General features: G+C 49.2%; 1 protein-coding gene and 1 pseudogene across 5 annotated transcripts in view, besides 1 other annotated feature; one reads left to right on the top strand and one right to left on the bottom strand.

Moving 5' to 3' along the window:
- Positions 1 to 282: 282 nt before the first annotated feature.
- The window catches only part of EIF3CL (eukaryotic translation initiation factor 3 subunit C like), a 46,838-nt gene continuing 19,172 nt past the window's right edge, over positions 283 to 27,948 (top strand). For 2 of the 5 annotated variants that reach the window (NM_001317857.2, XM_017023620.3), the window contains exons 1-8: positions 22,860 to 22,914; positions 23,053 to 23,183; positions 25,097 to 25,162; positions 25,305 to 25,494; positions 25,717 to 25,842; positions 26,032 to 26,086; positions 26,215 to 26,324; positions 26,703 to 26,830. In NM_001317857.2, the coding sequence (NP_001304786.1) occupies positions 23,083 to 23,183; positions 25,097 to 25,162; positions 25,305 to 25,494; positions 25,717 to 25,842; positions 26,032 to 26,086; positions 26,215 to 26,324; positions 26,703 to 26,830 (776 nt within the window). In that variant the 5' untranslated portion in view covers positions 22,860 to 22,914; positions 23,053 to 23,082. Of the gene's footprint in view, positions 518 to 22,815; positions 22,964 to 23,052; positions 23,184 to 25,096; positions 25,163 to 25,304; positions 25,495 to 25,716; positions 25,843 to 26,031; positions 26,087 to 26,214; positions 26,325 to 26,702; positions 26,831 to 27,948 lie in introns of those variants that run through there. The other 3 variants (XM_047434558.1, NM_001099661.2, NM_001317856.1) reach the window with 3 other exon arrangements.
- On the bottom strand, positions 12,586 to 12,953 carry CDC37P2 (cell division cycle 37 pseudogene 2; annotated as a pseudogene).
- Positions 22,533 to 23,033: an enhancer, noted in NCBI's record as "H3K27ac hESC enhancer chr16:28414989-28415489 (GRCh37/hg19 assembly coordinates)". NCBI's record gives its function as "activates a minimal SCP1, AML or CMV promoter by ChIP-STARR-seq in naive H9 embryonic stem cells {active_cell/tissue: H9 hESC(naive)}" and the evidence as "EXISTENCE:reporter gene assay evidence [ECO:0000049][PMID:30033119]".

The following is a 27,948-nucleotide window of genomic DNA, read 5'->3' as shown; positions in this document are numbered from 1 at the left end:
AGAAAGCAAGCAAGCAAGAAGGAAAGAGAAACAAAACTTGCCTTTCCTTTTTTTTTTTTTTTTTTTACCATGAGCACATACTGGTGCCAGTTTTCTATCTGTTGCCTCCCAGTTCCAAATCCATTTATTGCACCGCTTGCTACCAGATGTGGAACTGGCAAACATTTCTTCTTTGCCAGTAGAGGGCGCCGGAGGGACACCACAGGAGGAAGGGGCTTGTCCTGGTTCCTCCTCTGTCCCACCCCCGTGGCAGGCAGCCCTGCACCGGACACACAGTGGCATTCAACTTCCTGCCTGCCAGCCCCAGTGTGTGGTTCCCAGCCTGACAACCTTGGCACCCCAGCACCCCAGCAGGAGGGGTTTCTGCTTGTGGTCCCCTGGCCACCAGCCTCGGCCAGCTGGTTGTGGACCAGCCGTGACCTGGGGCAACCCAGCCAACCTCACCGTCCAATGGGCTGCAGCCACCTCTCTCCAGTGAGGTCTGAGACCCAGCCTTAACGAGGCTACCCCCTTCCAGGTTTGTTCTTTCTCTGGGCTCTCTCCCTCACCCTTTGGGTGTTTTTTGGTTGTTGTTGTTTGCGTGTGTGTGTGTGTGTGTATGTGTGTGTGTGTGTGTGTTGAGACAGAGTCTCCCTCTGTCACCCAGGCTGGAGTGCACTGGCATGATCTCGGCTGACTGCAACCTCTGCTTCCCGGGTTCAAGCGATTCTCCTGCCTCAGCCTCCCAGGTAGCTGAGACTACAGTTGCGTGCCACCACACCCAGCCAATTTTTATATTTTTAGGAGAGACGGAGTTTCACTATGTTGGCCAGGCTGGTCTCGAACTCCTGACCTCTTGATCTGCCTGCCTCAGCCTCCCAAAGTGCTGGGATTACAGGCGTGAGCCACCACGCCCGGCCCCATGGGTGTTTTTTAGAGTTCTCTTTGATTCACACTTAGTCACAATCCCCTGTAAATAGTTCATTGTTCTGTTAAAACTTCCCTGTTTAAATGACTCTGTGGTTTCCGCCTTGTGAGTGGATCCCGATCGATGTAGCATTATTACAAGAGGGGTGCCTGGAGATAGATCCACAAGGATAGCATTTGGGGACTGGTTTGTCCATGCCCTTGGGTTTGAGCTTTGTCTGAGCTCCAAGGTAATGGGAACTGGACGTCGGTAATCTGTGATGTGCTGTGGCATCGAGTTAATCAGACTGTTGCCTACAGCTTGTCTTTATAAAGTACCAACTCCAGCGCATGTCCCGGGAGCCCAAGTGGCTGCTGTACTTGACTGTGATGTCAATAACGATGACTGTAAGGGCTGTGGCGTGGGACGGATTCTTCTCAGTGCACTGCGTCACTTCCAGAAAGAAAACCACAGGCTTGGCTAGGCATGGTGGCTCACGCCTATAATCCCAGCACTTTGGGAGGTGAAGGTGGGTGGATCACAAGGTCAGGAGAGCGAGACCATCCTGGCCAACACGGTGAAACCCTACCTCTACTAAAAAATTAGCTGGGCGTGGTGGTGCACACCTGTAGTCCCAGCTACTCAGGAGACTGAGGCAGGAGAATTGCTTGAACCTGGGAGGCAGAGGTTGCAGTGAGCCGAGATCGCGCCACTGCACTCCAGCCTGGTGACAGAGCGAGACTCCGTCTCAAAAAAAAAAAAAAAAAAAAAAAAGTTCCAAGAACTGATAAGTGATTTTAGAAAGGGAGTAGAATACAAATCAATGTACTGTTTCTAAAATGCATGTGGGCCGGGCTGGGCACGGTGGCTCACGCCTGTAATCCCAGCATTTTGGGAGGCCAAGGTGGGCAGATCACTTGAGGTCAGGGGTTCGAGACCAGCCTGGCCAATATGGTGAAACCCAGTCTCTACTAAAAAAACAAAAATTAGCTGGGCGTGGTGGCAGGCACCTGTAATCCCAGTTACTCAGGAGGCTGAGGTGGGAAAATCACTTGAACCGTGGAGGCAGAAGTTGCAGTGAGCTGAGATCATACCACTGCACTCCAGCTGGGGCAACACAGCGAGACTTCATCTTGGGGGAAAAAAGGCACTTAATAGAATGAAAAGATAAGCCATAAATTGGGAGAGAGTCTTTGCGATAATAAGAGTAACAAAAACAATAATAATATCTGGGTCAGGCGGAGTGGCTCATGCCTGTAATCCCAGCACTTTGGGAGGCTGAGGCAGGCAGGTCACTGGAGCCCAGGAGTTCAAGACCAGCCCGGCCAACATGGTGAAACTCTGCCTCTACTAAAAATACAAAAAATTAGCCAGTCCTGGTGGCAGGCGCCTGTAATTCCAGCTACTTGGGAGGCTGAGGCAGAATTGCTTGAACCAGGCGGCAGAGGTTGCAGTGAGCCGAGATCTTGTCATTGCACTCCAGCCTGGGCAACAAGAGTGAAAGTCCATCTCAAAAAAAAATAAATAGGCTGGGCGTGGTGGCTCACACCTGTAATCCCAGCACTTTGGGAGGCCGAGGTGGGCAGATCACGAGGTCATGAGATCGAGACCATCCTGGCTAACACGGTGAAACGCTGTCTCTACTAAAAATACAAAAAAATTAGCTGGGTGTGGTGGCGGGTGCCTGTAGTCCCAGCTACTCAGGAGGCTGAGGCAGGAGAATGGCGTGAACCTGGGAGGCAGAGCTTGCAGTGAGCCGAGATCACACCACTGCACTCCAGCCTGGGCAACAGAGTGAGACTCCATCTCAAAAAAAAAAAAAAAAATTAGCCAGGTGTGGTTGCGGGCGCCTGTAGTCCCAGCTACTTGGGAGGCTGAGGCAGGAGAATGGCGTGAACCCAGGAGACGGAGCTTGCAGTGAGCCGAGATAGTGCCACTGCACTCCAGCCTGGGCAACAGAGCAAGACTCCGTCTCAAAAAATATATATATATATATAATATATATATTATATATATATATGGAGCAGAAAAAGCCTTTGTTGGACGAATTTACAAAGCTTGTGCAAATGTAAGGTGTTTAAAGCCTATGGTTGCTGGGCACGGTGGCTCACGCCTGTAATGCCAGCACTTTGGGAGGCTGAGGCGGGTAGATTGCCTGAGGTCAAGAGTTCAAGACCAGCCTGGCCAACATGATGAAACCCCATCTCTACTAAAAATACAAAATTTAGCCGGACATGGTGGCACATGCCTGTAATCCCAGCTACTCAGGAGGCTGAGGCAGGAGAATCGCTTGTACCCAGGAGGCGGAGGTTGCAGTGAGTGGAGATCGCGCCGCTGCCCTCCAGCCTGAGCGATAAGGGAGACTCCATCTCAAAAAAAAAAAAAAAAAGCCTATGGTTATTAACTGTATGATTCATCAGCAGGTACTTTGCACACATTTTTGAATCTGTCATAAGATATTGAACCAGTACTGTCAATTGTGAACTTCATTTGCTTGTGTGGATTTAACTGTCAGTTCCATAAATTTTTGTTAGAAATACAAGCTGAATATCCTGACTTGCCATGCCATACAGTAGTTTGATGTCTTGGAAGTGCTAAATTTTATGGTTTTGATTTGTTTTGTTTTTTTGAGACAGGGTCTCACTCTGTCACCCAGGTTGGAGTGCAGTGGTGTGATCTTGGCTCACTGCAACCTCTGCCTCTCATGCTCAGGTGACCCTTCCACCTAAGGTTACTTCCCTAAGAAACTGGGACTACACACATGTGCCACCACGCCTGGCTAGTTTTTGCATTTTTTGCAGAGACAGGGTTTTGCCATGTTGCCCGGGCTGGTCTTGAACTCCTGGGCTCAAGTAATCTGCCTGTGTCAGCCTCCCAAAGTGCTGGGGTTATACGTATGAGCCACCACACACAGCCATATGGTTTTTAACTCCGGGCTGAGATTGAATTTTTTTTTCTTTTCTTTTCTTTTTTTGTTTGAGACTGAGTCTCACTCTGTCAACCAGGCTGGAGTGCAGTGGTGCTATCTCAGCTCACTGCAATCTCTGCCTCCCGAGTTCGAGGGATTTTCCTGCTTCAGCCTCCCAAGTAGCTGGGATTACAGGTGCCCGCCACCACACCTGGCTAATTTTTTTTTGTATTTTTAGTAAAGACGGGGTTTCACTGTGTTGGCCAGGCTGGTCTCGAACTCCTGACCTCAGGTAATCCACCTGCTTCGGCCTCCCAGATTGCGGGTATTACAGGCTTGAGCCACTGCACCCAGCCTGAAATTTTTCTAAATAAGAACCGGGCCAGGTGCAGTGGCTCACACCTGTGTTACCAGCACTTTAGGAGGCCGAGGTGGGCAGATCACTTGAGGACCATCCTCACTAACATGGTGAAACCCCGTCTCTACTAAAAATACAAAAAATTAGCCAGGCTTGGTGGTGGGCACCTGTAGTCCCAGCTACTCCGGAGGCTGAGGCAGGAGAATCCCTTGAACCTGGGGAGGTGGAGGTTGCAGTGAGCCTAGATCATGCCACTGCACTCTAGTCTGGGTGACAGAGCGAGACTCCGTCTCAACAACAACAACAACAAAGAAGAACCACACATAACCACTGCTATCAAACACTGAGAGGCTTTGTTAGCTAGCTTTTGAAGCAGTTTTGATAATATCTCTTAATAATTCAACCTAAAATTATAAGGCAAAACAGCACGTATATGTTTAACGTATGCTGCTGTAAAGTAACTTCATTGATGGTATATTGTTTGAATCACAAGCGATGTCAAGCTGCCTTATACACAGCCCATAATATCAAAGTTAAAACAAGGAGCAAGATGTCCATTCCCATATAAATTTTTAGGAGCTACATTTCCAATCTCAAACTGCAGTTCCAGTAGCATTTTTAGGACTTCAGTGAAATTGAGACACATCTCAAGTGATTAAACCATAATGTAGTGACATGCTAAAAGGCAGATAGCAAGAGAAAAATCCAATCCAAATAGATTTTTTTTTTTTTTTTTTGAGACACGGTCTTGCTCTGGTGCCCAGGCCAGAGTGCAGTGGCACCATCTCAGCTCACTGCAACTTCTACCTCCCAGGTTCAAATGATACTGAGCATCAAGTAGCTGGAATTACAGGCACACGCCACCAGGCCTGGCTGATTTTTTTGTATTTTCAGTAGAGAGGGGGGTTTTGCCGTGTTGCCTAGGCTGGTCTGGGACTCCTGGCCTCGAGTGATCCACCTACCTCGGCCTCCCAAAGTGCTGGGATTAAGTGAGCCACCGCACCTGGCCAGAGTCCAAATAGAATTCTATAAATGCCTTTCAAATGATGAATGTGCTCGTGACATCATATGCTTGTGGATTGCTATCTGTATTTGGCAATACCTATCTTCAGGAAAAACTATTTTTGCCAAATCTCATTACAGATTAGAATTAACAGATAAACATTTGTCATAGACTTTGATGATAGGGAACACTAACTTTGTTCTTTTTTTTTTTTTTTTTTTCTGAGATAGAGTCTCGCTCTGTCACCCAGGGTGGAGTGCAGTGGTGTGATCTCGGCTCACTGCCACCTCTGCCTCCTGAGTTCAGGCAATTCACATGCCTGAGCCTCTCCAGTAGCTGGGATTACAGGCATGCGCCACCATGTCTGGGTAATTTTTGTATTTTTAGTAGAGTCTGGGTTTTGCCATGTTGGTCAGTCTGGTCTCAAACTCCTGGCCTCAAGTGATCTGCCCGCCTCGGCCTCCCAAAGTGCTGGAATTACAGGCGTGAGCCACTGTGCCCTGCCATAATATACTACTTTTTATCTGTTGTCCTACAACACCTAAAATATTTACTATTTGGCCCTTTACAAAAAACATTTGCCAACCCCTGCTCTAGAAAATGCAAATCAGGTCAGGCATGGTGGCTCACACCTATAATCCCAGCACTTTGGGAGTCTGAGGTAGGCAGATCACCTGAGCTCAGGAGTTCGAGACCAGCCTGGCCAATGTGGTGAAACCCCGTTTCTACTAAAAATACAAAAATTACCTGGGTGTGGTAGTGGGTGCCTGTAATCCCAGCCACTTGGGAGGCTGAGGCAGGAGAATTGCTTGAACCTGGGAGGCGGAGGTTGCAGTGAGCTGAGACTGCACCATTGCACTCCAGCCTGGGTGACAAGAGCAAAACTCCATCTCAAAAAGAAAAAAAGAAAATGCAAATCAACCTATCGTGACAGAAAGCAGATCAGTGGTTTCTTGGGTATGAGGGGTCAGAGAGAGGCAGGTGGGAGAGATTACAGTCACAAGGAGACTTCTGCGTGATGCATACCTTCGCTATCATGATTGTGGTAATGACTTCACGGCTATAGATATAAAATATATGTCAAAACATCAAATTCTGGCTGGACACAGTGGCTTATGCCTGTAATCCCAGCACTTTGGGAGGCTGTGGCAGGAAGATTTGCTTGAGGCCAGGTGTTTGAGACTAGCTTGGGCAATATTGTGAGACCATGTCTCCACCAAAAAAAGGTTTTTTTGGTTTTTTTTTTTTAATTAGCTGGGCATGGTTGTGCACACTTGTAGTCCCAGCTACTCTGAAGGCTGAGGTGGGAGGATGGTTTGAGCCCAGGAGTCCGAGGCTGCAGTGAGCTATAATTGCACCAGCGCACTCCAGCCTGAGCAACAGAGCAAGACCTTGTTAAAAATAAATAAATAAATAAGCTGCGCGCAGTGGCTCACACCTGTAATCCCAGCACTTTGGGAGGCTGAGGCAGGTAGATCACCTGAGGTCAGGAGTTCGAGACCAGCCCGGCCAACATGGTGAAACCCCATCTCTACTAAAAATACAAAAATTAGCCAGGTGTGGTGGCGTGCATCTGTAATCCCAGCTACTCGGGAGGCTGAGGGAGGAGAATTGCTTGAGCCCGGGAGGCAGAGGTTGCAGTGAGCCAAGATCACACCACTGTACTTCTGCCTGGTTGACAGAGCAAGACTCCATCTCAAAAAAATAAACAAAAAACTTGCTCTAGTAGCCAAAAACCTAAGTTGAGTTGCCATAGTGAAGAGTTGTAGTCTCTCGCCTGGATTTTAGACCTAAGTCAGCATAGATCCAGAGTCACTTAATTGGAGAGAAGTTTGGTTCTCCCTGAGAGAGGAACATGCCCTGTTTACTAGAGTGTGCATCAGGGAGAAGAAAATACCCAACCTTTTGAGGATTCCTAGACATTGGCTCTGAATTAACGCCAAGTCCTGAGGATCCAAAATGCCACTGTGGCTCATCACTAAAAGTAGGGGCTTAAAGATAGATGGTCAGGTGCTAGATGGAGTCTTAGCTCAGCCCCAACTCACAGAGGGCTCCGTTGATCTATGGTCCCACCCTGTGGTTATTTCCAAATTCCTGAGAGTATAATAGGAATAGCCATCTATGGCAACTGACAAATCTCCACACTGGCTCTCCCACCCATGGAGTGAGAGAATCATGGTGGAAAGGGCTAAGGGAAAGTCCCTGTAACTTCCACTTCCTGTCAAGACAGTTAACCAGAGGGCTGGGCGCACTGGCTTACACCTGTAATCCCAGCACTTTGGGAGGCCAAGGCAGGCGGATCACGAGGTCAGGAGATTGAGACCATCCTGGCTAACACGGTGAAACCCCATCTCTACTACAAATACAAAAAATTAGCCAGGCGTGATGGCGGGCACCTGTAGTCCTAGCTACTCAAGAGGCTGAGGCAGGAGAATGGCGTGAACCCAGGAGGTAGAGGTTGCAGTGAGCCAAGATCATCCTACTGCACTCCAGCCTGGGCAACAGAGGGAGACTCTGTCTCAAAGAAAAAAAATTTTAAAAAGACAGTTAACCAGAAGCATTATCACATCCCTGGAGAGTCGCAGAGACTAGTGCCACCCTCAAAGACTTGCAAGGGGCCAGGTGGGGTGGCTCAGGCCTGTAATCCTAGCATTTTGGGAGGCTGAGGCGGGTGGATCACCTGACGTCAGGAGTTCGAGACCAACCTGGGCAACATGGTGAAACCCTATCTCTACTAAAAGTACAAAAATTAGCCGAGTGTGGTGGCAGGTGCCTGTAATCCTGGCTACTCAGGATGCTGAGGCAGGAGAATCCCTTGAACCTGGGAGGCAGAGGCTTCAGTGAGCTGAGATCATACCACTGTACTCCAGCCTAGGCAAAAGAGCGAAACTGTGTCAAAAAAAAAAAGACTTGAATGGGCAGGCGTTTAGCATATGCTGGTTGGATGGATCTTAGAGAATGACTGTGGACTATGGGAAACTCATTTAGATGGTGACTCCAATTGCAGCTGCTGCCTCACATGTGGTATCTTTAGACAGCAGAAGAAATCAACATGACCCCTAGTGTGGTGCAATGATGTATTAAAGACTCAGTTAAGGCAAGATGTGGTGGCTTACACCTGTAATCCCAGCACTTTGGGAGGCCAAATCACTTGAGGTCAGGAGTTTGAGACCAGCCTGGCCAACATGTAAAACCCCATCTCCACTAAAAATATGAAAATTAGCCAGGCGTGGTGGCGCATGCCTGTAATACCAGCTACTCTGGAGGCTGAGGCAGGAGAATCACTTGAATCTGGGAGGTGAAGGTTGCAGTGAGCCGAGATCATGCCACTGCCCTCCAGCCTGGGCAACAGAGCAAGACTCTATCTCAAAAAAATAAAGACTCAGTTAAGGCACCACTTGAGAGACCACACCCCAGAAAGAATGGTTTGGGTTTTTTACCCCGCACAGAGGCTGGGATTCTTTTTTATAGCATGCACACTACTATCTTTTTTTTTTTTTTTGAGACAGAGTCTCACTCCTGTTGCCCAGTCTAGAGCGCAATGGGGTGATCTCAGCCCACTGCAACCTCCACCTCCTTGGTTCAAGAGATACTGCTGCCTCAGCCTCCTGAGTAGCTAGGATTACAGGCATGCGCCACCACGCCTGGCTAATTTTTTTTTTTTTTTTTTTTTGCATTCCTAAAGTGCAAACTTTATTTGAGTTTTTTTTTTTTTTTTAAATTTATTTTTTTATTGATAATTCTTGGGTGTTTCTCACAGAGGGGGATTTGGCAGGGTCATGGGACAATAGTGGAGGGAAGGTCAGCAGATAAACAAGTGAACAAAGGTCTCTGGTTTTCCTAGGCAGAGGACCCTGCGGCCTTCCGCAGTGTTTGTGTCCCTGATTACTTGAGATTAGGGATTGGTGATGACTCTTAACGAGCATGCTGCCTTCAAGCATCTGTTTAACAAAGCACATCTTGCACCGCCCTTAATCCATTTAACCCTGAGTGGACACAGCACATGTTTCAGAGAGCACAGGGTTGGGGGTAAGGTCACAGATCAACAGGATCCCAAGGCAGAGGAATTTTTCTTAGTGCAGAACAAAATGAAAAGTCTCCCATGTCTACTTCTTTCTACACAGACACGGCAACCATCCGATTTCTCAATCTTTTCCCCACCTTTCCCGCCTTTCTATTCCACAAAGCCGCCATTGTCATCCTGGCCCGTTCTCAATGAGCTGTTGGGCACACCTCCCAGACGGGGTGGTGGCCGGTCAGAGGGGCTCCTCACTTCCCAGTAGGGGCGGCCGGGCAGAGGCGCCCCTCACTTCCCGGATGGGGCGGCTCGCCGGGCAGGGGGGCTGACCCCCCCCACCTCCCTCCCGGACGGGGCGGCTGGCCGGGCGGGGGGCTGACCCCCCAACCTCCCTCCCGGACCGGGCGGCTGGCCGGGCAGAGGGGCTCCTCACTTCCCAGTAGGGGCGGCCGGGCAGAGGCGCCCTCACCTCCCGGGCGGGGCGGCTGGCCGGGCGGGGGGGGCTGACCCCCCCCACCTCCCTCCCGGACGGGGCGGCTGGCCGGGCAGAGCGGCTCCTCACTTCCCAGTAGGGGCGGCCGGGCAGAGGCGCCCCTCACCTCCCAGACGGGGCGGCTGGCCGGGCGGGGGGGCTGACCCCCCCCACCTCCCTCCCGGACGGGGCGGCTGGCCGGGCAGAGGGGCTCCTCACTTCCCAGTAGGGGCGGCCGGGCAGAGGCGCCCCTCACCTCCCGGACGGGGCGGCTGGCCGGGTGGGGGGGCTGACCCCCCCCACCTCCCTCCCGGACGGGGTGGCTGCCGGGCGGAGACGCTCCTCACTTCCCAGATGGGGTGGCTGCCGGGCGGAGACGCTCCTCACTTCTCAGACGGGGCGGCTGCCGGGCGGAGGGGCTCCTCACTTCTCAGACGGGGTGGTTGCCAGGCAGAGGGTCTCCTCACTTCTCAGACGGGGCGGCCGGGCAGAGACGCTCCTCACCTCCCAGACGGGGTCTCGGCCGGGCAGAGGCGCTCCTCACATCCCAGATGGGGCGGCGGGGCAGAGGCGCTCCCCACATCTCAGACGATGGGCGGCCGGGCAGAGACGCTCCTCACTTCCTAGATGTGATGGCGGCTGGGAAGAGGCGCTCCTCACTTCCTAGATGGGATGGCGGCCGGGCGGAGACGCTCCTCACTTTCCAGACTGGGCAGCCAGGCAGAGGGGCTCCTCATATCCCAGACGATGGGCGGCCAGGCAGAGACACTCCTCACTTCCCAGACGGGGTGGCGGCCGGGCAGAGGCTGCAATCTCGGCACTTTGGGAGGCCAAGGCAGGCGGCTGGGAGGTGTAGGTTGTAGTGAGCCGAGATCACGCCACTGCACTCCAGCCTGGGCACCATTGAGCACTGAGTGAACGAGACTCCGTCTGCAATCCCGGCACCTCGGGAGGCCGAGGTTGGCGGATCACTCGCGGTTAGGGGCTGGAGACCGGCCCGGCCAACACAGCGAAACCCCGTCTCCACCAAAACCAGTCAGGCGTGGCGGCGCGTGCCTGCAATCGCAGGCACTCGGCAGGCTGAGGCAGGAGAATCAGGCAGGGAGGTTGCAGTGAGCCGAGATGGCAGCACTACAGTCCAGCTTCGGCTCCGCATGAGAGGGAGACCGTGGGGAGAGGGAGACGGAGATGGAGACGGAGACGGAGAGGGAGAGGGAGAGGGAGAGGGAGAGGGAGAGGAAGAGGGAGAGGGAGAGGGAGAGGGCATGAAAATAGGAAATGTGAATCCTCCAACTTTTTTTTTTTGGAGACGGAGTCTCGCTCTGTTGCTCAGACTGGAGTGCAGTGGCACTATCTCAGCTCACTGCAAACTCCATCTTCCAGGTTCAAGTGATTCTCCTGCCTCAGCCTACCAAGTATCTGGGACTACAGGCAGGTGCCACCATGCCCGGCTAATTTTTGTATTTTTAGTAGAGATGGGGTTTCACCATGTTGGCCAGGCTGGTCTTCAACTTCTGACCTCAAGTGATCCACCCTCCTCAGCCTCCCAGCGTGCTGGGATTACGGGTGTGAGCCACCTCATCCAGCCTCTTTTTTTTTCTTTTAATATCTAAAATCCTTTTTAGAACATCATTGCTGTTTGCCAAATAGAAGACACAGACAGCAGATGAACAGTGGAAACAGAACCCGGTGACCTGAGCCACCTAGTGGCTGGGGACCCTCCCCTCTACCTGGCGGACCAGCCTGGCGACCTCTGCCCCTCCCCGGGCCCCTGGGCCTTTGGCATGATGCTGATGGGGCGCTGTGGGCAGTGAAGTCCCTTGACTCAAAGCAGAGACTTGAATGGGTGCTGGAGAGTGGGGACAGTGGAGAGGGCGGGGAGGGGGAGAGGGCAGGGAAGGCCTGGCAGGCCCCCAGGGCTAGGGGGAGCAGCGGAAGTGGAGGAAGCCAGGAGCTGGGGAGATGGTGTCTATTTTTGTTTTCTGAAAAGGGGCGCCTAGGGGCTTGCACACAGGTGGCAGCTGCAGCTGGGGTGGGTCACGCACTGACATCCCCGCCTGTCTTGGGAACAGCTTCCAGCAGCCGGTCCCTGAACACTCCTCCTCTCCCTCCTTGGCCTCGCTGACCTCAGAGTTGGGGACCCGGAGGCCGGCGTCGATACACTGTTGCATGGGGAACTTGGCCTTGGTGGGGTCCATCTTGCTGCATTTGCGCGTCCTTCGCATTGAAGCCCTTTTGGAGTTCCTCAGGGGGAACTCGTCACCTCCACGGGTTCCAGGCCACCAGGGCCAAGCTGCTTCTTGAGCTCCTCCTCCTAGTACTCCTGCACCACCTGCTTTCTAGACGCGCAGCTTGGCGCAGCCCCACACAGGCTCCGTGGAGGCTTCCAGCTCGTCCTTGAAGCTCTCCATGCACTAGCAGTCAGCCGTCTGAATCTCAGTGAAGAACTGCCAGAAGCAGACCCGGGGGACCCCTTCCGGCTCCTGACCAACACCAGGTTGAACTGCGTGACAATTGCCTAGTGGACCACCTGCTCCATGAGGGCGCATTTCTCCTGCACCTCTAGATCAGCACACCAGATGACCAGGTAGTTGACCATCTTCTCATCAGGCTTGGTGTTCACCATGCTCCTGCTAAAGCCGTCTTTTCTTTTTTTTTTTGAGACGGAGTCTTGCTCTGTCGCCCAGGCTGGTGTGCAATGGCATGATCTTGGCTCACTGCAGCCTCCGCCTCCCGGGTTCAAGCGATTCTCCTGCCTCAGCCTCCCGAGCAGCTGGGATTACAGGCGCCCACCACCACGCTCAGCTACTTTTTGTATTTTTGTAGAGACGAGGTTTCGCCATGTTGGTCAGGCTGGTCTCAAACTCCTGACCTCAAGTGATCGCCCCGCATCAGCCTCCCAAAGTGCTGGGATTACAGGTGTGAGCCACCGCACCCAGCCTGAAACTGCTTTTGCTGAGCGTGTCCACGTTCCAGGTCATGCTCTTTTTCTTGGGCATCTCCTCCAGCTTTTGCTCCCAGCTCAGCTCCTCGTGTAGCCACTCCACCTCCACCCTGGCACCCTCTGACACCTCCAGCTCCTTCAGCTTCCTCTGGCACTCGGCCATCTTGCACTTGTACTCCCAGCAGCCCCTGTCCAGTTCCTCCTTCTCCTTCTGGAACTGCTCCATGAGCTCCACCCGGGCTTGGTGCTGCCAGCGGAAGAGGTTAGCCCGGTGGGTGTTGGGATGCCTCTCCTCTTCATCATCGCTCAGTGTGGCCCCACACGCTGTAGTCCAACATTTTGCCTCTGCGACCCAGCTAACTCCCTGAACAGTGGTTCTCAGTGAGGTAGTACTGCCCCCTAGGGCCATTTTGGAAGCTTGTTTGTGGGGGCTTTGATCTCACTGTGAATGTGACAATGTCCTTAGAGGGAGAGAGCAAAGCCATCCTGCCATGCACAGTATGGTCCTGGATGAAGAGAGATTCTTCTACGTTTGAGTGGTTTTTTTAATATCCCCGCCAGACATCCAACAATATGTGCTAAGAATCTAACTTCATTTTACATATGAACCCAAAGTCGCTTGTTTTGTTTTGTTTTAGATAGAGAGTCTTGCTTGGTCACTCAAGCTGGAGTGCAGTGGCGCGATCTCAGCTCACTGCAACCTCCGCCTCCCAGCTTCAAGCGATTCTCCTGCCTCTGCCTCTTGAATAGCTGGGATTACAGGCATGCACCACCAAACCTAGCTAATTTTTGTATTTTTAGTAGAGACAGGGTTTCGCCATGTTGGCCAGGCTGGTCTCGAACTCCTGACCTCAGGTAATCTGCCCGCCTCAGCCTCCCAAAGTGCTGGGATTACAGGCATGAGCCACTGCGCCCAGCCTAAACCCAAAGTATTTCTTGCTTGGTTTTAATATACACTGAATTTTTCAAGAATTCGACTATCGTGTATTAGTATGAACTAAATGTTTGTGTTCTCCTGCCAAATGCATATGTTGAAGCCCTAATCCCCAATGTCATAGCATTTGAAGGTGAGAAGGTGAGGCCCTTGGAAGGTAATTGGGGCTAGATTACGTCATGAGGGTGGGAGACTTCATGATGGTATTAATGCCCTCACAGAAAGAGAACGAGACAAGCAATCTCTTTCTCCACCAAGTGGGGATACAGCAAGAAGGCAGCTGTGAGCAAACCAGAAACAGAGCCCTCACCAGACACCAAATCGGTTTTGCCAGCACCTTAATCTTGGACTTCCCAGCCTCCAGAACTGTGAAAAATAAATATTGTTTTTTAAGCCACCCTGTTTATGGTATTTTGTTATAGCAGCCTGAGCTGACTAAAATCTCAGGTCATTGAAGGAAGATGTATTTTGCTTCGTTGGGATCTTTACCAAGAGCTGTACTTGGACAATTCCTTTACTGAAGGCAACACACACATTAAAATCCATTGCTTACCAGCTGCACTGCAGTGCCTCAGTCACCATGATTCTAAGTATAAAAATGCTAAGTATAGGCCAGGTACAGTATCTCATGCCTGTAATTTCACCACTTTGGGAGGCTGAGGCACTCAGATCACTTGAGATCAGGAGTTCGATTCCAGCCTGGCCAACATGGTGAAACCCTGTCTCTACTAAAGATACAAAAATTAGCTTAGCATGATGGTGTGTGCCTGTAATCCCAGCTACTTGGGAGGCTGAGGCAGGAGAATCGCTTGAACCTGGGAGGCAAAGGTTGCAGCGAGCTGCACCATTGCACTCCAGCCTGGGCAACAAGAGTGAAACTCCATCTCAAAAAAAAAAAAAAAAAAAAAAACTAGCTACTAGCTATATGCTATTTCAAGATGTATATAAATATCATTATTATACAGAAATATTGAAAAGCAATTAATAAAAAAATACATCAGGCCAAAACCAACTAAAATGAAGTTGGAAAGCTATATTAGTATCAGAAAAAATAGACTCACAAAAAGTATTACTGCAGATAAAGAGTGTCATCTCATAATAATAAAATAGTCCCAGCCTGTCCAACATGGCGAAACCCCGTCTCTACTAAAAAATACAAAAATTAGCTGGGTGTGGTGCCACGTTCCTGTAATCCAAGCTACTTGGAAGGCTGAGGCAGGAGAATCACTTGAACCTTGGGGGTGGAGGTTACAGTGAGCCGAGATTGTGCCAGTGCACTCCAGCCTGGGTGACAGAGTGAGACTCCATCTCAAAAAATAAATAAAAAATAAAATAAAATATTCAATTTAACAGGGATGTATAACAAAAACTACTCTGTACCTAATAATAAAAATTTAAAACATATGATGTAAATATTGAAAAAAATGTTGATACAAGCTTTATTTATAATATGGCCAGGTATGGTGGCTCACACCTGTAATCCTAGCACTTTGGGAAGCCAAGGTGGGAGGATCACCTGAGGTCAGGATTTCCAGACCAGCCTGGCCTGGTCTCTACTAAACATGGTGAAACCCCATCTCTACTAAAAATACAAAAATTAGCCAGGTGTGATGATGCACGCCTGTAATCTAAGCTAATTGGGAGGCTGAGGCACGAGAACCTCTTGAACCTGGGAGGCGGAGGTTGCAGTGAGCCAAGATCATGCCACTGCACTTCATCATGGAGGACACAATGAGACTCCATCAAAAAAAAAAAAATCTACAGGAGAATGAATACATTGTGGTATCGATCGTCATTCAATTGAAAACCATTCAGGAATTTAAAAAGAATGACTGGGCTGGGCGCGGTGACTTACGCCTGTAATTCCAGCACTTTGGGAGGCCAAGGTGGGCAGATCACCGGAGGTCAGTAGTTCGAGACCAACCTGACCAACATGGAGAAAACCAGTCTCTACTAAAATTGTAAAATTAGCTAGGTGTGGTGGTGCATGCCTGTAATCCCAGCTACTCATGAGGCTGAGGCAGGAGAATCGCTTAAACCCGGGAGGCAGAGGTTGCGGTGAGCCAAGATTGCGCCATTGCACTCCAGCCTGGACAACAAAAGCAAAACTCCATCTCAAAAAACAAACAAACAAACAAAAAAGAATGTCCTACCATACTGGTGCACTTAACACGGATGAATCTCATAATAAGTATTATGGTCAACAATAGAAGCCAGGTACAAAAAAGGATATGCCTTATGATTCTATTTATATGAAGCTCAAGAACCGGCAAAACTGGCCAGGCGTGGTGGCTCATGCTTGTAATCCCATGCTTTGGGAGGCTGAGGCAGGATGATTGCTTGAGGCCAGGAGTTCGAGACCAGCCTGGGAACATAGTGAGGCCCCCCCCGTCTCTACAAAAAACAAAAACCCCACAAAAAACATTAGCTGAACTCGGTGGTGTACACCTGTGGTCCCGGCTACTTGGGAGGCTGAGACAGGAGGATCCCTTAAACCCAGGAGTTCAAGGCTGCTGCAGTGAGCTGGGATCTTGCAATTGCACACCAGCCTGGGCAAGAGAGTGAGATCTTGTCTCTAGTAAAAAAAAATCAAAAAACAGGCAAAACTAATAGATGATGATAGACACCAAACCAGTGATTGATTAGTGCAGCTGATTCATTTAGCTATATGTATGTTGTCTTTTAATAATTACAATAATAGGCAGAGTGTGGTGGCTTATGCCTGTAATCCCAGCATCCTGGGAGGCCGAGGCAGGCAGATCACTTGAGGCTAGGAGTTTGAGACCAGCGTGGCCAACATGGTGAAACCCTGTCTCTACTAAAAATATAAAAATTAGTTGGGTGTGGTGGTGCATGCCTGTAATCCCAGCTACTCCAGTGGCTGAGACAGGAAAATTGCTTGAGCCTTGGAGGCGGAGGTTGCAGTGAGCAGAAATCGTGCCACTGCACTCACACCTGGGCGACACAGCAAGGCTCTGTTTCCAAACGAAAAATTTATAATAATAATAGAAACATATCATTGAACATGTACTATGTGAAATGCACTGAGGGGATACTAAGACATTCCTGTCTTCAAGGTACTTGAGGTCTATTTGAGAAAATTAAACACAAAGCAAAATACAATAAAATTGTGTGTATCAGAAAGTTATATTATCTGTGAATTTCATAGTCTTGACTTTTCTTTTTTTTTTTTTTTTTGAAATGGAGTCTCGCTCTGTCGCCAGGCTGGAGTGTAGTGGCGTGATCTCGGCTCACTGCAACCTCCGCCTCCCAGGTTCAAGCGATTCTCCTGCCTCAGCCTCCCGAGTAGCTGAGACTACAGGCACGCGCTACCATTCCCAGCTAATTTTTGTATTTTTAGTAGAGTTGGGGTTTCACCATGTTGGCCAGGATGGTCTCTATCTCTTGACCTCGTGATCCTCCCACCTCGGCCTCCCAAAGTGCTGGGATTACAGGCATGAGCCACTATGCCCAGCCTGAATTTCAAAGTCTTTTGAGACATTTATTTTAGAAAGGGGATATTGAAGCCAGGCACATTGGCTCACACCTGTAATTCCAACACTTTGGGAGGCCAAGGCAGGAGGATTACTTGAGCCCAGGAGTTTGAGACCAGCCTGGACAACATAGCGAGAATCCATCTCTAAAAAAATTTAAAAAATGAATCTCAGCCAGGCACGGTGGCTCACGCCTGTAATCCCAGCACTTTGGGAGGCCAAGGTGGGTGGATCACTTGAGGTCAGGAGTTCAAGACCAGCCTGACCAACATGGTGAAACTCTGTCTCTACTAAAAATACAAAAATTAGTTGGATGTGGTGGTGCATGCCTGTAATTCCAGCTACTCACAAGGCTGAGGCAGGAGAATCGTTTGAACCCAGGAGGTGGAGGGTGCAGTGAGCCGAGATCACACCACTGCACTCCAGCCTGGGCAACAGAGCAAAACTCTATCTCAAAAAATAAAAAATAAAAATAAATAAGTCTCGTGTGGTGACGGGCGCCTGTAGTTCCAGGACAATGATTGTATCACTGCACTCCAGCCTGGGTGAAAGAGCAAGACCCTGTCTCAAAATAAATACATAAATAACAGTCCAACGTGGTGGCGTGCACCTGTAGTCCCAACTCGGGAGGCTGATATGGGAGGATCACTTGAGCTCAGGAGTTTGATGCTGCAGTGACCTATGATCACACCACTGCACTCCAGTCTGGGTGACAGAGTGACACCCTCTCTCAAATAGTAATAATAATAATTTTTAAGATTAAAAAAAGAAAGAAAAGGAAAAAATAAAAGAAAAAGGGGGGATATCAGTGGCTGGAGTTGCGTGAGTGAGGGGGAGTGTGGTACCCAGCATTTTGTCCCACAGAGGGGTTCCCATGGCACTCCCTCCCCTTTTCCCACGCTCTGTCCTCTCCTTCCGCTCAGTTCATTCCCCTTCTGCAATAAAATAATATACTTGGAAGCGTCTTCTGTGACCTGCGAGTTAGAGGACCTGGTTTCAGAATCTCATGCTGTCACAACAGAGCCCTCCCCCGCACTGCAGAGTCCTGCTTTTCTCATTTGTAAAATGAGGTTAGTAATAGCTGCTTTTCCTGCCCACCTATAAGTTTTCATGAGTTTCAAGCACCTCTATGCATTTGAAATTGTTATTCAAATGCCAGTTATGGTTATCATCTTCCTGCTTGCTGGCTGTGTTATTACAGGCACATGAAGAGAGTCAATCTGCTGTGAGAAATACGTACGCCCACATGAACTGGAGACACCAGACTGATCAAAGCTCTTCCAGGGTGTCGTTCCCACTCTGGGACCATTAAGGACCCCATCAGAATCTGGGTATTAACAAAATTCACCTATTAAATACACCCATGTTACGTTTGTCTCCAGTCACAGAGCCTACTACACTCATAAAGGAAGAAATTATTAGGTAAATTACTAGGTTTTCTTTCCCTTTTTTTTTTTTTTTTTTTTTTTTTTTTTTTTTGGCGACAAGGTCTTGCTCTGTCGCCCAGGCTGGAGTGCAGTGGCAAGATCTTGGCTCACTGCAACCTCTGCCTCCTGGGTTCAAGCGATTCCCCTGCCTCAGCCTCCCAAGTAGCTGGGATTACAGGCGTGCACCACCATGCCCGGCTAATTTTTGCATTTTTAGTAGAGGTGGGGTTTCACGGTGTCAACTAGGCTGGTCTCGAGCTCCTGACCTCAGGTGATCCACCCGCCTCGGCCTCCCAAAGTGCTGGGATTACAGGTGTGAGTCACCATGCCCGACCTAGGATTTCTTTAAGTCAGCTGCCTTCATTCCCATTTTTCCTATTTACAAAATGAAGTTGAGGCCAAGCACAGTGGCTTAGTCTTGTAATCTCAGAGCTTTGGGAGGCCAATGCTAGAGAATTGCTTAAGGCCAGGAGTTCAAGATCAGCCTGGGCAATATAGTGAGACTCCATCTCTACAAAAAGTAAAAATATTAATTGGGTGTAGTGGTGTGTGCCTGTTGTCTCAGCTACTCAGGAGGCTGAAGTGGGAGGATCGCTTGAGGCCAGGAGTTTGAGGCTGCAGTGAGCCGTAATCACACCACTGCACTTCAGCCTGGGCAGCAGAAATTGCAAAAAAAGAAAAAAGAAAAAAGAAAAAAGAAAAAAAAGGCCGGGCGCGGTGGCTCACACCTGTAATCCCAGCACTTTGGGAGGCTGAGGTGGGCGGATCACAAGGTCAGGAGATCAAGACCATCCTGGCTAACACGGTGAAACCCCATCTCTACTAAAAATACAAAAAATTAGCTGGGCGTGGTGGCAGTTGCCTGTAGTCCCAGCTACTCGGGAGGCTGAGGCAGGAGAATGGCATGAACCCGGGAGGTGGAGCTTGCAGTGAGCCAAGATCGCGCCACTGCACTCCAGCCTAGGTGATGGAGCAAGACTCCGTCTCGAAAAGAAAAAAAAAAGACTAAGTTGAATTCACTCAAAAATTGTTGGAGTCTGGCTCTAAAACAACACATCTCTCAACAGTTTAGATAGCTGTGGAATAATGTTTGGGTTGGAATGCAAACTATCGATTTGACCTTAGACAGGTCACTTGACCTTTTAGGACATCAACATTCTCCTCTCTAAAGTGGAACAGTGTGGCCTGCCTTCTGGGGTTATTATGCTTTTTTTTTTTTTTTTAAATGGAGTTTTACTCTTGTTGCCCAGGCTGGAGTGCAATGGCGTGATCTCGGCTCACTGCAACCTCCACCTCCTGGGTTCAAGCAATTATCCTGCCTCAGCCTCCCAAGTAGTTGGGATTACAGGCATGTGCCACTACACCCAGCTAATTTTGTATTTTTAGCAGAGATGGGGTTTCACCATTGTTAGTCGAGCTGGTCTCGAACTCCTGACCTCAGGTGATCCACCCACCTCAGCCTCCCAATGTGCTGGAATTACGGGTGTGAGCCACCACACCCAGCCTATTATGAATACTTTTAAAAGGCAATCAGGCTGGGTGTGGTGGCTCATGCCTTTAATCCCAGCACTTTGGGAAGCAAAGGCAGGCGGACCACTTGAGGTCAGGAGTTCAAGGCCAGCCTGGCCAACATGGTGAGATCTCATCTCTACTAAAAGTACAAAAATTAGGTGTGGTGGCAGGCACCTGTGATCCCAGCTACTCAGGAGGCTGAGGCAGAAGTATCGCTTGAACCTAGGAGGCGGAGGTTGCAGTGAGCCAAGATTATGTCCAGCCTAGGCGACAGAGCAAGACTCTGTCTCAAAAACCAAACAAAAAAAAAGAGAATGAGACAGAGCCATATGCACTGATACAGAATGAGCTGCAAGATATATGATGAATAATGAAATAAGATGCAGGAAACAATGGTAGAGACAGATATGTTCCAGGTAGACGCACACACACACACACACATACCCTGATCTATATAATTCATATACATATATTGAATATATATATATACACACACACATATATATATACATACACACATACAATACATCTATCTATATCCTTTCTGTCTCTATCTAGTCATTTCTTGGTATCCTCAAGGGATTGGTTCTAGGATTCCTGGGAGATACCAAAACCTGTACATACTCAAGTCCCGCAGTTGCCCCTGTGGAACCTGTAGTTACAAAATTTGGGCCCTTGGTATACATGGGTTTCAAATCCAGTGAATACTGTTATTTTTGATTGACATTTCGTTCCAGATGTGGAACCCACCTGTATGGAGGATTGACTGTATTTATTGAATAAAATCCACATATACGTAGACCTACACATTCTTCAAGAGTCAACTCTGTGTGTGTGTGTGTATGTGTGTGTGTGTGTGTGTATACACAAAGAGAGATACGGAGAGAGAGGGCACAAAGTGACATCTGGAAGATAACGCTATAAACTGACAATTGTGTTTGCTTCTAGAGAGAAAAGCTGATGAACATGAGGTCAGGGCAGGAAGGAAACATTTTTTCCTGTATATTTTTTCTTCCTGTGTATTCTGTTGTACCATTTTCATTTTGTAAAAATGTACACATATTATTTAAAATAAAGAGAGCTGGGCGTGGTGGCTCACGCCTGTAATCCCAGCATTTTGGGAGGCCGAGGCGGGTGGATCACCTGAGGTCAGGAGTTCGAGACCAGCTTGGACAACATGGTGAAACCCCTTCTCTATTACAAATACAAAAATTAGCTGGATGTGGTGGTGCACGTCTGTAAATCCCAGCTACTTGGGAGGCTGAGGCAGGAGAATTGCTTGAAACTGGGAGGCGGAGGTTGAAGTGAGCCAAGATCATACCATTGCACTCCAGCCTGGGCAACAAGAGCAAAACTCCATCTCAAAAAAAAAAAAAAAAAAGATATTTATGGATTTACAGACGTACAATGAACCCCTTGGTTTTTTTTTTTAACTTTTTTTTTTTGGAGACAGAGTCTTGCTCTGTCGCTCAGGCTGGAGTGCAGTGGCACGATCTTGGCTCACTGCAACCTCCACCTTCAGGGTTCAAGCAATTCTCCTGCCTCAGCCTCCTGAGTAGCTGGAATTACAGGCATCTGCCACTATGCCAGGCGAATTTTTGTATTTTTAGTAGAGATGGGGTTTCACCATGTTGGCCAGGCTGGTCTCGAATTCCTGACCTCAAGTGATCTGCCCACCTCTGCCTCCCAAAGTGTTGGGATTACAGGCATGAACCACCATGCCCAGCCTCATATTAAGTTTTGACGGTGCTGGGTGGGTTGTGAGTACATAGATGTCCATTGGAATAGTCTTTATTCTTGTCTGTTGAAATATTTCACAATAAAAAACAAAACGGCCAGGTGTGGTAGCTCATGCCTATAATCCCAGCACTTTGGAAGAGCATGCTCTTCCCTTCCCAGCACTTCCCTGTCCCGCTCCCATATCAAAACCACCTTGAAAAATGTAACACAGTCCCTTGCACTAAAACCTCTGCCGATGGCGGCTCCAAACCACAGGCCTATAAAGACCTGCAAGATCTAGCATCGTCTACTTTTTTTTTTTTTTTTTTTTTTTTTGAGACAGAGTCTTGCTCTGTCACCCAGGCTGGAATGCAGTGGTGTGATCTCTGCTCACTGCAATCTCTTCCTCCTGGGTTCAAGTGATTCTCCAGCCTCAGCCTCCCACGTAGCTGGGATTACAGGCAGGTGACACTGTGCCAGGCTAATTTTCGTATTTTTTAGTAGACACGGGGTTTTGCCATATTGGCCAGGCTGGTCTCGAACTCCTGACCTCAGGTGATCCACCCACCTCAGCCTCCCAGAGTGTTGGAATTACAGGAGTGAGCCACTGTGCCTGGCTAGCATTGTCTACTTTTTTTTTTTTGAGATGGAGTTTCGCTTTTGTTGTCCAGGCTGGAGTCCAGTGGCTCGATCTCGGCTCACCACAACCTCCGCCTCCCGGGTTCAAGCGATTCTCCTGCCTCAGCCTCCCGAGTAGCTTGGCTTACAGGCATGCACCACCACGCCTGGCTAATTTTGTATTTTTAGTAGAGATGGGGTTTCTCCATATTGGTCAGGCTGGTCTCGAACTCCCGACCTCGGGTAATCCGCCTGCCTCGGTCTCCCAAAGTGCTAGGATTACAGGCGTGAGTGAGCCACCGCACCCGGCAGGATTATCTACTTCTATACTATTAATGCCTATTAATGCTGTAATTACACGCGTGAGCCACTGCGCCCCGCCGATCTTCGTGTTTTAAATCCCGACACCAACGCGCGGTAGGATTCGCGACGCCTGCAGCCAAGGTCTCAGCGCCCGGTTCCCTCAGGCTTGTCCCCGCCCCCTTATGGCGCGAAGGCCACTGGGAGTTGTAGTCTCCCAGTGTAGTTAGTCGGCGCTTCCCGGAAGTGACGCGAGGACCCGCCTTCTCTCTCGGCGTTTCCGCTGTCAGGGCCCTGCGGTGTGACTCGCGGGCTCAGCTGGTTGGTATTTTTTGGGCCTCGTGCTTCGTGGTGGGAGACCCAGGTCGAGGTCCGGGTGGGGCCGGTGAGGGGTTGGGCGTCGGGAGGTGTTGGCTCGGGCCTCTTCGCGTGGCCGGTGACGCCTTGGCTCCCCCGCAGGTCCGGCCGTAGCACCTCCGCGCCGTCGCCATGTCGCGGTTTTTCACCACCGGTTCGGACAGCGAGTCCGAGTCGTCCTTGTCCGGGGAGGAGCTCGTCACCAAACCTGTCGGAGGCAACTATGGCAAACAGTGAGTTGCGGGGGCTGTGGCTGTGACCATTCTGGGAGTGCGGGGTTAGGCAGGCTGTGGAACGCAGTGCACATGGGAGGGGATGGAGGTGAGGGCGGGGAGAGTGGGTTTGGACAATGACCAGAGTTTGCAGGATCGGAGCGGTGTTGGAGAGAGACAGCCTTAGAGGGCTGTGATAGCCGGTAGCCACCCACCAGGCACAAGGGATAGAATCACAGAGGTTTCCCAAGCCAGATCTGTTGCATCAGCTTCTTAACTGGCCTTAAGTCTACAGCCTCTACCTGTCTCCTCTCATTTTACCGCCGAGAAGTCCTTAGTGACTTCTCACTGCTCACAGAAGGAAATGCAAAATGCTTGATTGGTATCTGGGAGCCCCCTGATGCGACTCTGAAGTCTGGTCACCTGCTGTGTACGCAGGTGCTTAAACATTTTATATGCCTGTTCACCTCTACGTAAATACCCATCCGCCATTTCTGTACATTAATTTTTTTTTTTTTACCCTTTGGAACAATAGAATGGTTTTTCTTTTTCCTTTTTTTTTTCTTTTTTTGAGGGGTCATAGCTCACTGCTGCCTCGACCTTCAGATCTCAAGCGATCCTCCCACCTCAGCCTCTCAAGTAGATGGGACTACAGGTGCACGCCATCGCAGCAGGCTAATTGTTTTTAATTTTTTGTAGAGAAGGTGTCTCACTGTGTTGCTTAGACTGGTTCTGAACTCCTGGGCTCAAGTGAACCTCCCGCCCAGCATTCTAAAGTGTTGGGGTTACAGGAATGAGCCACTGTGCCCCACTGGAATGGTGTTTCTTAAACATCTGCCACGTTTGTGCTACTGTTTTAAAAGTATGTATTGCACATGTATATGCCAATATGCATATGGTTTCGTATCACTTCCACAGGTGGAAACCAGTGTCATTTGCCATAAAATACCAAATAATCCAGGCTGGGCAGGTGGCTCAAGCCGGTAATCCCAGCACTTTGGGAGGCTGATTACTTGAGGTCAGGAGTTTGAGACCAGCATGGCCAATAAGGTGAAACCCCGTCTCTACTAAAAATACAAAAATTAGCCGGTTGTGGTGGCACATGCCTGTAACCCCAGCAACTTAGGAGGCTGAGGCAGGAGAATCTCTTGAACCTTGGAGGCGGAGGTTGTAGTGAGCCGAGATTGCGCCATTGCACTGCAGCCTGGGCGATAAAAGCAAAACTCCACCTCAAAAAACACCGCTAAAATAATCCAAAAAATAATAAAAAGGGAAAAGAGGCAGGCAAGATGGTGCATGCCTGTAGTCCCAACTACTCTGGAGGCTGAGGTGGGAGGATCCCTTGAAACTCAGGAGTTGGAGGCTGCCTGGGCAACATAGTGAGACCTTATCTCTTAACAAACAAAAAGAGTAGAGATACTGTTGCTGACTGTGAGCCTGTGGTCTGGTCTTATTATCGTAGAAAAATACTAGCAGTGGAGGTGTTAATACCATTGAGACTTTCTCCTTGCTGTTGGCCTCTCATACTTTGGGAAATGTTGCTAAGATCTAGTTTAGGTACCACCTCCCTAAAGCCTTTTCTGTTCATTATAGCTCAAGTATCATTTTTCTCTACCTCTTTTTTTATTCATTACTTCTGTGGTGACTTGTGTCTCTATGTCATTAGTTACACAGTAAATTAGCACTTTCATTTGTTTTTGAGAGGATAGTGAATGTCATCTTTGTGTTGCTACAACACTGAGCAAAAGGCCTTACTTAGTGTACACTTAAAAGATTGAGTTGTATATGAAGTGGCCCTGAGGAGGAGTCAAAAAGAGGATGGGTGTGGTGTGGATGGCCTGGATTACTTAGTTCTACCTGTCCTGAGTAGGGAAATACGGATCTCTTGGAAAGACTGGGAAAGGAGGTTAATGGCCTCTGTTCCTTCCAAACAGGCCATTGTTGCTGAGCGAGGATGAAGAAGATACCAAGAGAGTTGTCCGCAGTGCCAAGGACAAGAGGTAAAGCCATGGCGAGGCTGGGTGATGGGAGTCTCTGGGAGCAATGAAGCTGTGGGGAGGCTGGGTGATAGGAGTCTCTGGGAGCAGTGGTGAGTTTTCCCTCGGTGGGCACGTTCAATGTGGTATCGGGCTCCCAACCCAGGTTTGAGGAGCTGACCAACCTTATCCGGACCATCCGTAATGCCATGAAGATTCGTGATGTCACCAAGTGCCTGGAAGAGTTTGAGCTCCTGGGAAAAGCATATGGGAAGGCCAAAAGCATTGTGGACAAAGAAGGTGTCCCCCGGTTCTATATCCGCATCCTGGCTGACCTAGAGGACTATCTTAATGAGGTGTGATGCCTATATTTATTACCACCACTTATTCATGGTTTTGTACTTTTAGTGGTGGGATGTATAGGATCTTTTAAAAATAAGCTAACAGATGTAGTTAATAAGTAGTACCAGTGGTGTTCCAATAGCAAGACTCAAAAGTGGAGAAGAAGCCTGGAGTTTAGGAAATGTTACTTAGTTTCAAATCACTGTTCTCTGTTTCTTTCCTCTTCTTCCCTTTAGCTTTGGGAAGATAAGGAAGGGAAGAAGAAGATGAACAAGAACAATGCCAAGGCTCTGAGCACCTTGCGTCAGAAGATCCGAAAATACAACCGTGATTTCGAGTCCCATATCACAAGCTACAAGCAGGTGGGGAGGCTAGAGGCACACTTACTGAACTGGGAACAGTGACCCCGTGACTGAGGCCCAAAGATGGAATTGCTAGTGGGAGGTGTGACTGGAGCAGGAAGATGACAGAACTGTCTGGGGTGGAGGGGTGGGGTGGGCTGATGGCTGGACAGCGTCCATGATTGTTCTCTCACTTCCCTCTCTGTCCAGAACCCCGAGCAGTCTGCGGATGAAGATGCTGAGAAAAATGAGGAGGATTCAGAAGGTGAGCCAAAGAACCTTTGTTGCAAATAGGAAGTCCAGAGTTAGTGTTGCCCTTCGCCTGGTTTCTTGGCTGCCCTCCAGTCTGGCTTTTCAACATTCAGGATCTTTTTCTCCCTCCATTACCACTAGGCTCTTCAGATGAGGATGAGGATGAGGACGGAGTCAGTGCTGCAACTTTCTTGAAGAAGAAATCAGAAGCTCCTTCTGGGGAGAGTCGCAAGTTCCTCAAAAAGATGGATGTAAGAGCCAGGGTTAGATGGATGATTTCCTGCCAGAGGTAGTTCCTGAGTCCCTGGGGGAAAAAGACAAGACTCAAACCCCTAGGGTTGGGAGGGGTGGAATTTAGTGGAGTTGAGAACAAGCTTCCTCTTACATCAGAGCAGTGGGCAAACAGGGATCTGGGCCCAGCTCTGCCAGGGGAAGCTGTGTGTGTTCCTGCGGCCAAATTGCAGCATCACTCTGGGACTTGATGGTGAGTCCCAGCCCTTGGTATCTTGATTCCATGAGTAGCTGCTCTTGTTCTACTCATGTAAATAAATCTCGAACATGCGTTAGTAAGGAGGAGACACCAGTCAATCTCCCTGTCTTCTTGCTGATCCTCTTTTCTTCCCTCTAAGGATGAAGATGAGGACTCAGAAGATTCCGAAGATGATGAAGACTGGGACACAGGTTCCACATCTTCCGATTCCGACTCAGAGGAGGAAGAAGGGAAACAAACCGCGCTGGCCTCAAGATTTCTTAAAAAGTAAGGAAAGTAGTGGGACCTAGGGTTACACTGGAACTGGTGGAAAGCTCTTAATTGTCTGGAAGGTTATTGATTCTTCCATGGAGTCCTTTTAGGTTGGAGCAGCCAACTGTTAGCATTTTACAGTAGGATCAGAGAGTCAAGTACATTAGTTGGCTAAAGTCACGAAGCTAATGTGTCCTAAAGATGAGAATTGAAGGCTCCAGAGTCCAAATATTTACCCACAGCCTTACTCACTGCGTGTGGATTGGGTGCAAATCTCACTTTGGCACCCGATACCTGTGTGACATTGGACAAACTACTTAGCCTGTCTAATCTTCAGTTTTCTCATCTGTAAAATAAGGCAGGGAACCCTCCCTTCCAGAATAGCTGCAGGAATACAGGGAGGTGTGATGTAAGAAAGTAGTTCATCTAGGACTGACGTGTGGTGAGCCCTCAGTGTGCGTTGCTACTGTGTTACCCTTCCTGATAACTTCTTAGTACACATACAGCATACAGACTGCCGCAAGTGTTCATGACCTTTACTGGGACAGTCAGAATAGGGGAGGATCCCAGTGTGGATTCTGTCTCCCAGCCTTTATCAGCTGTACAACATTGTATAAGTTACTTGACCTTAAGTCTTAGTTTCTCCCTTTGAAGTAAAAGTGATACCTGCTCTTTTGTATCCCATGGGAGTGAAATCTCAAGCTCACTAAAAATAGTGCTTTTATTTATTTTTTCTTAGCCAGTTTGCACAAACTACAGATAAAAAGTGCTTTTTTTGAGACAGGGTCTCACTCTTCCCAGGCTGGAGTGTAGTGATGCAATCTTGGCTCACTGCAACCACAACCTCTTGGGCTCAGGTGATCTTCCCACCTCAGGCTCCTGGGTAGCTGGGACTACAGGTACACTCCAGTACATCCGGCTAATTCTTGTGTTTTTAATACAGACAAGATTTCACCATGTTACCCATGCTGATCTTGAACTCCTGGGCTTAAGCGATCCTCCCGCCTCAGCCTCCCAAAGTGCTGGGGTTATAGGCGTGAGCCACTGCACCCAGACAAATAGTACCCTTTTAATGGGAAGATTATTGCTCTCAAGGTTGCTTTCCTGTGTTTAAAAGTTGTGGTCGTGCTGCT

The sequence above is a fragment of the Homo sapiens genome, chromosome 16, assembly GCF_000001405.40.
Source record: "Homo sapiens chromosome 16, GRCh38.p14 Primary Assembly".
Lineage (NCBI taxonomy): Eukaryota > Metazoa > Chordata > Mammalia > Primates > Hominidae > Homo > Homo sapiens.
Note: the sequence above shows the minus strand (reverse complement) of the source record. Positions and strands in the feature narration are given on the sequence as shown.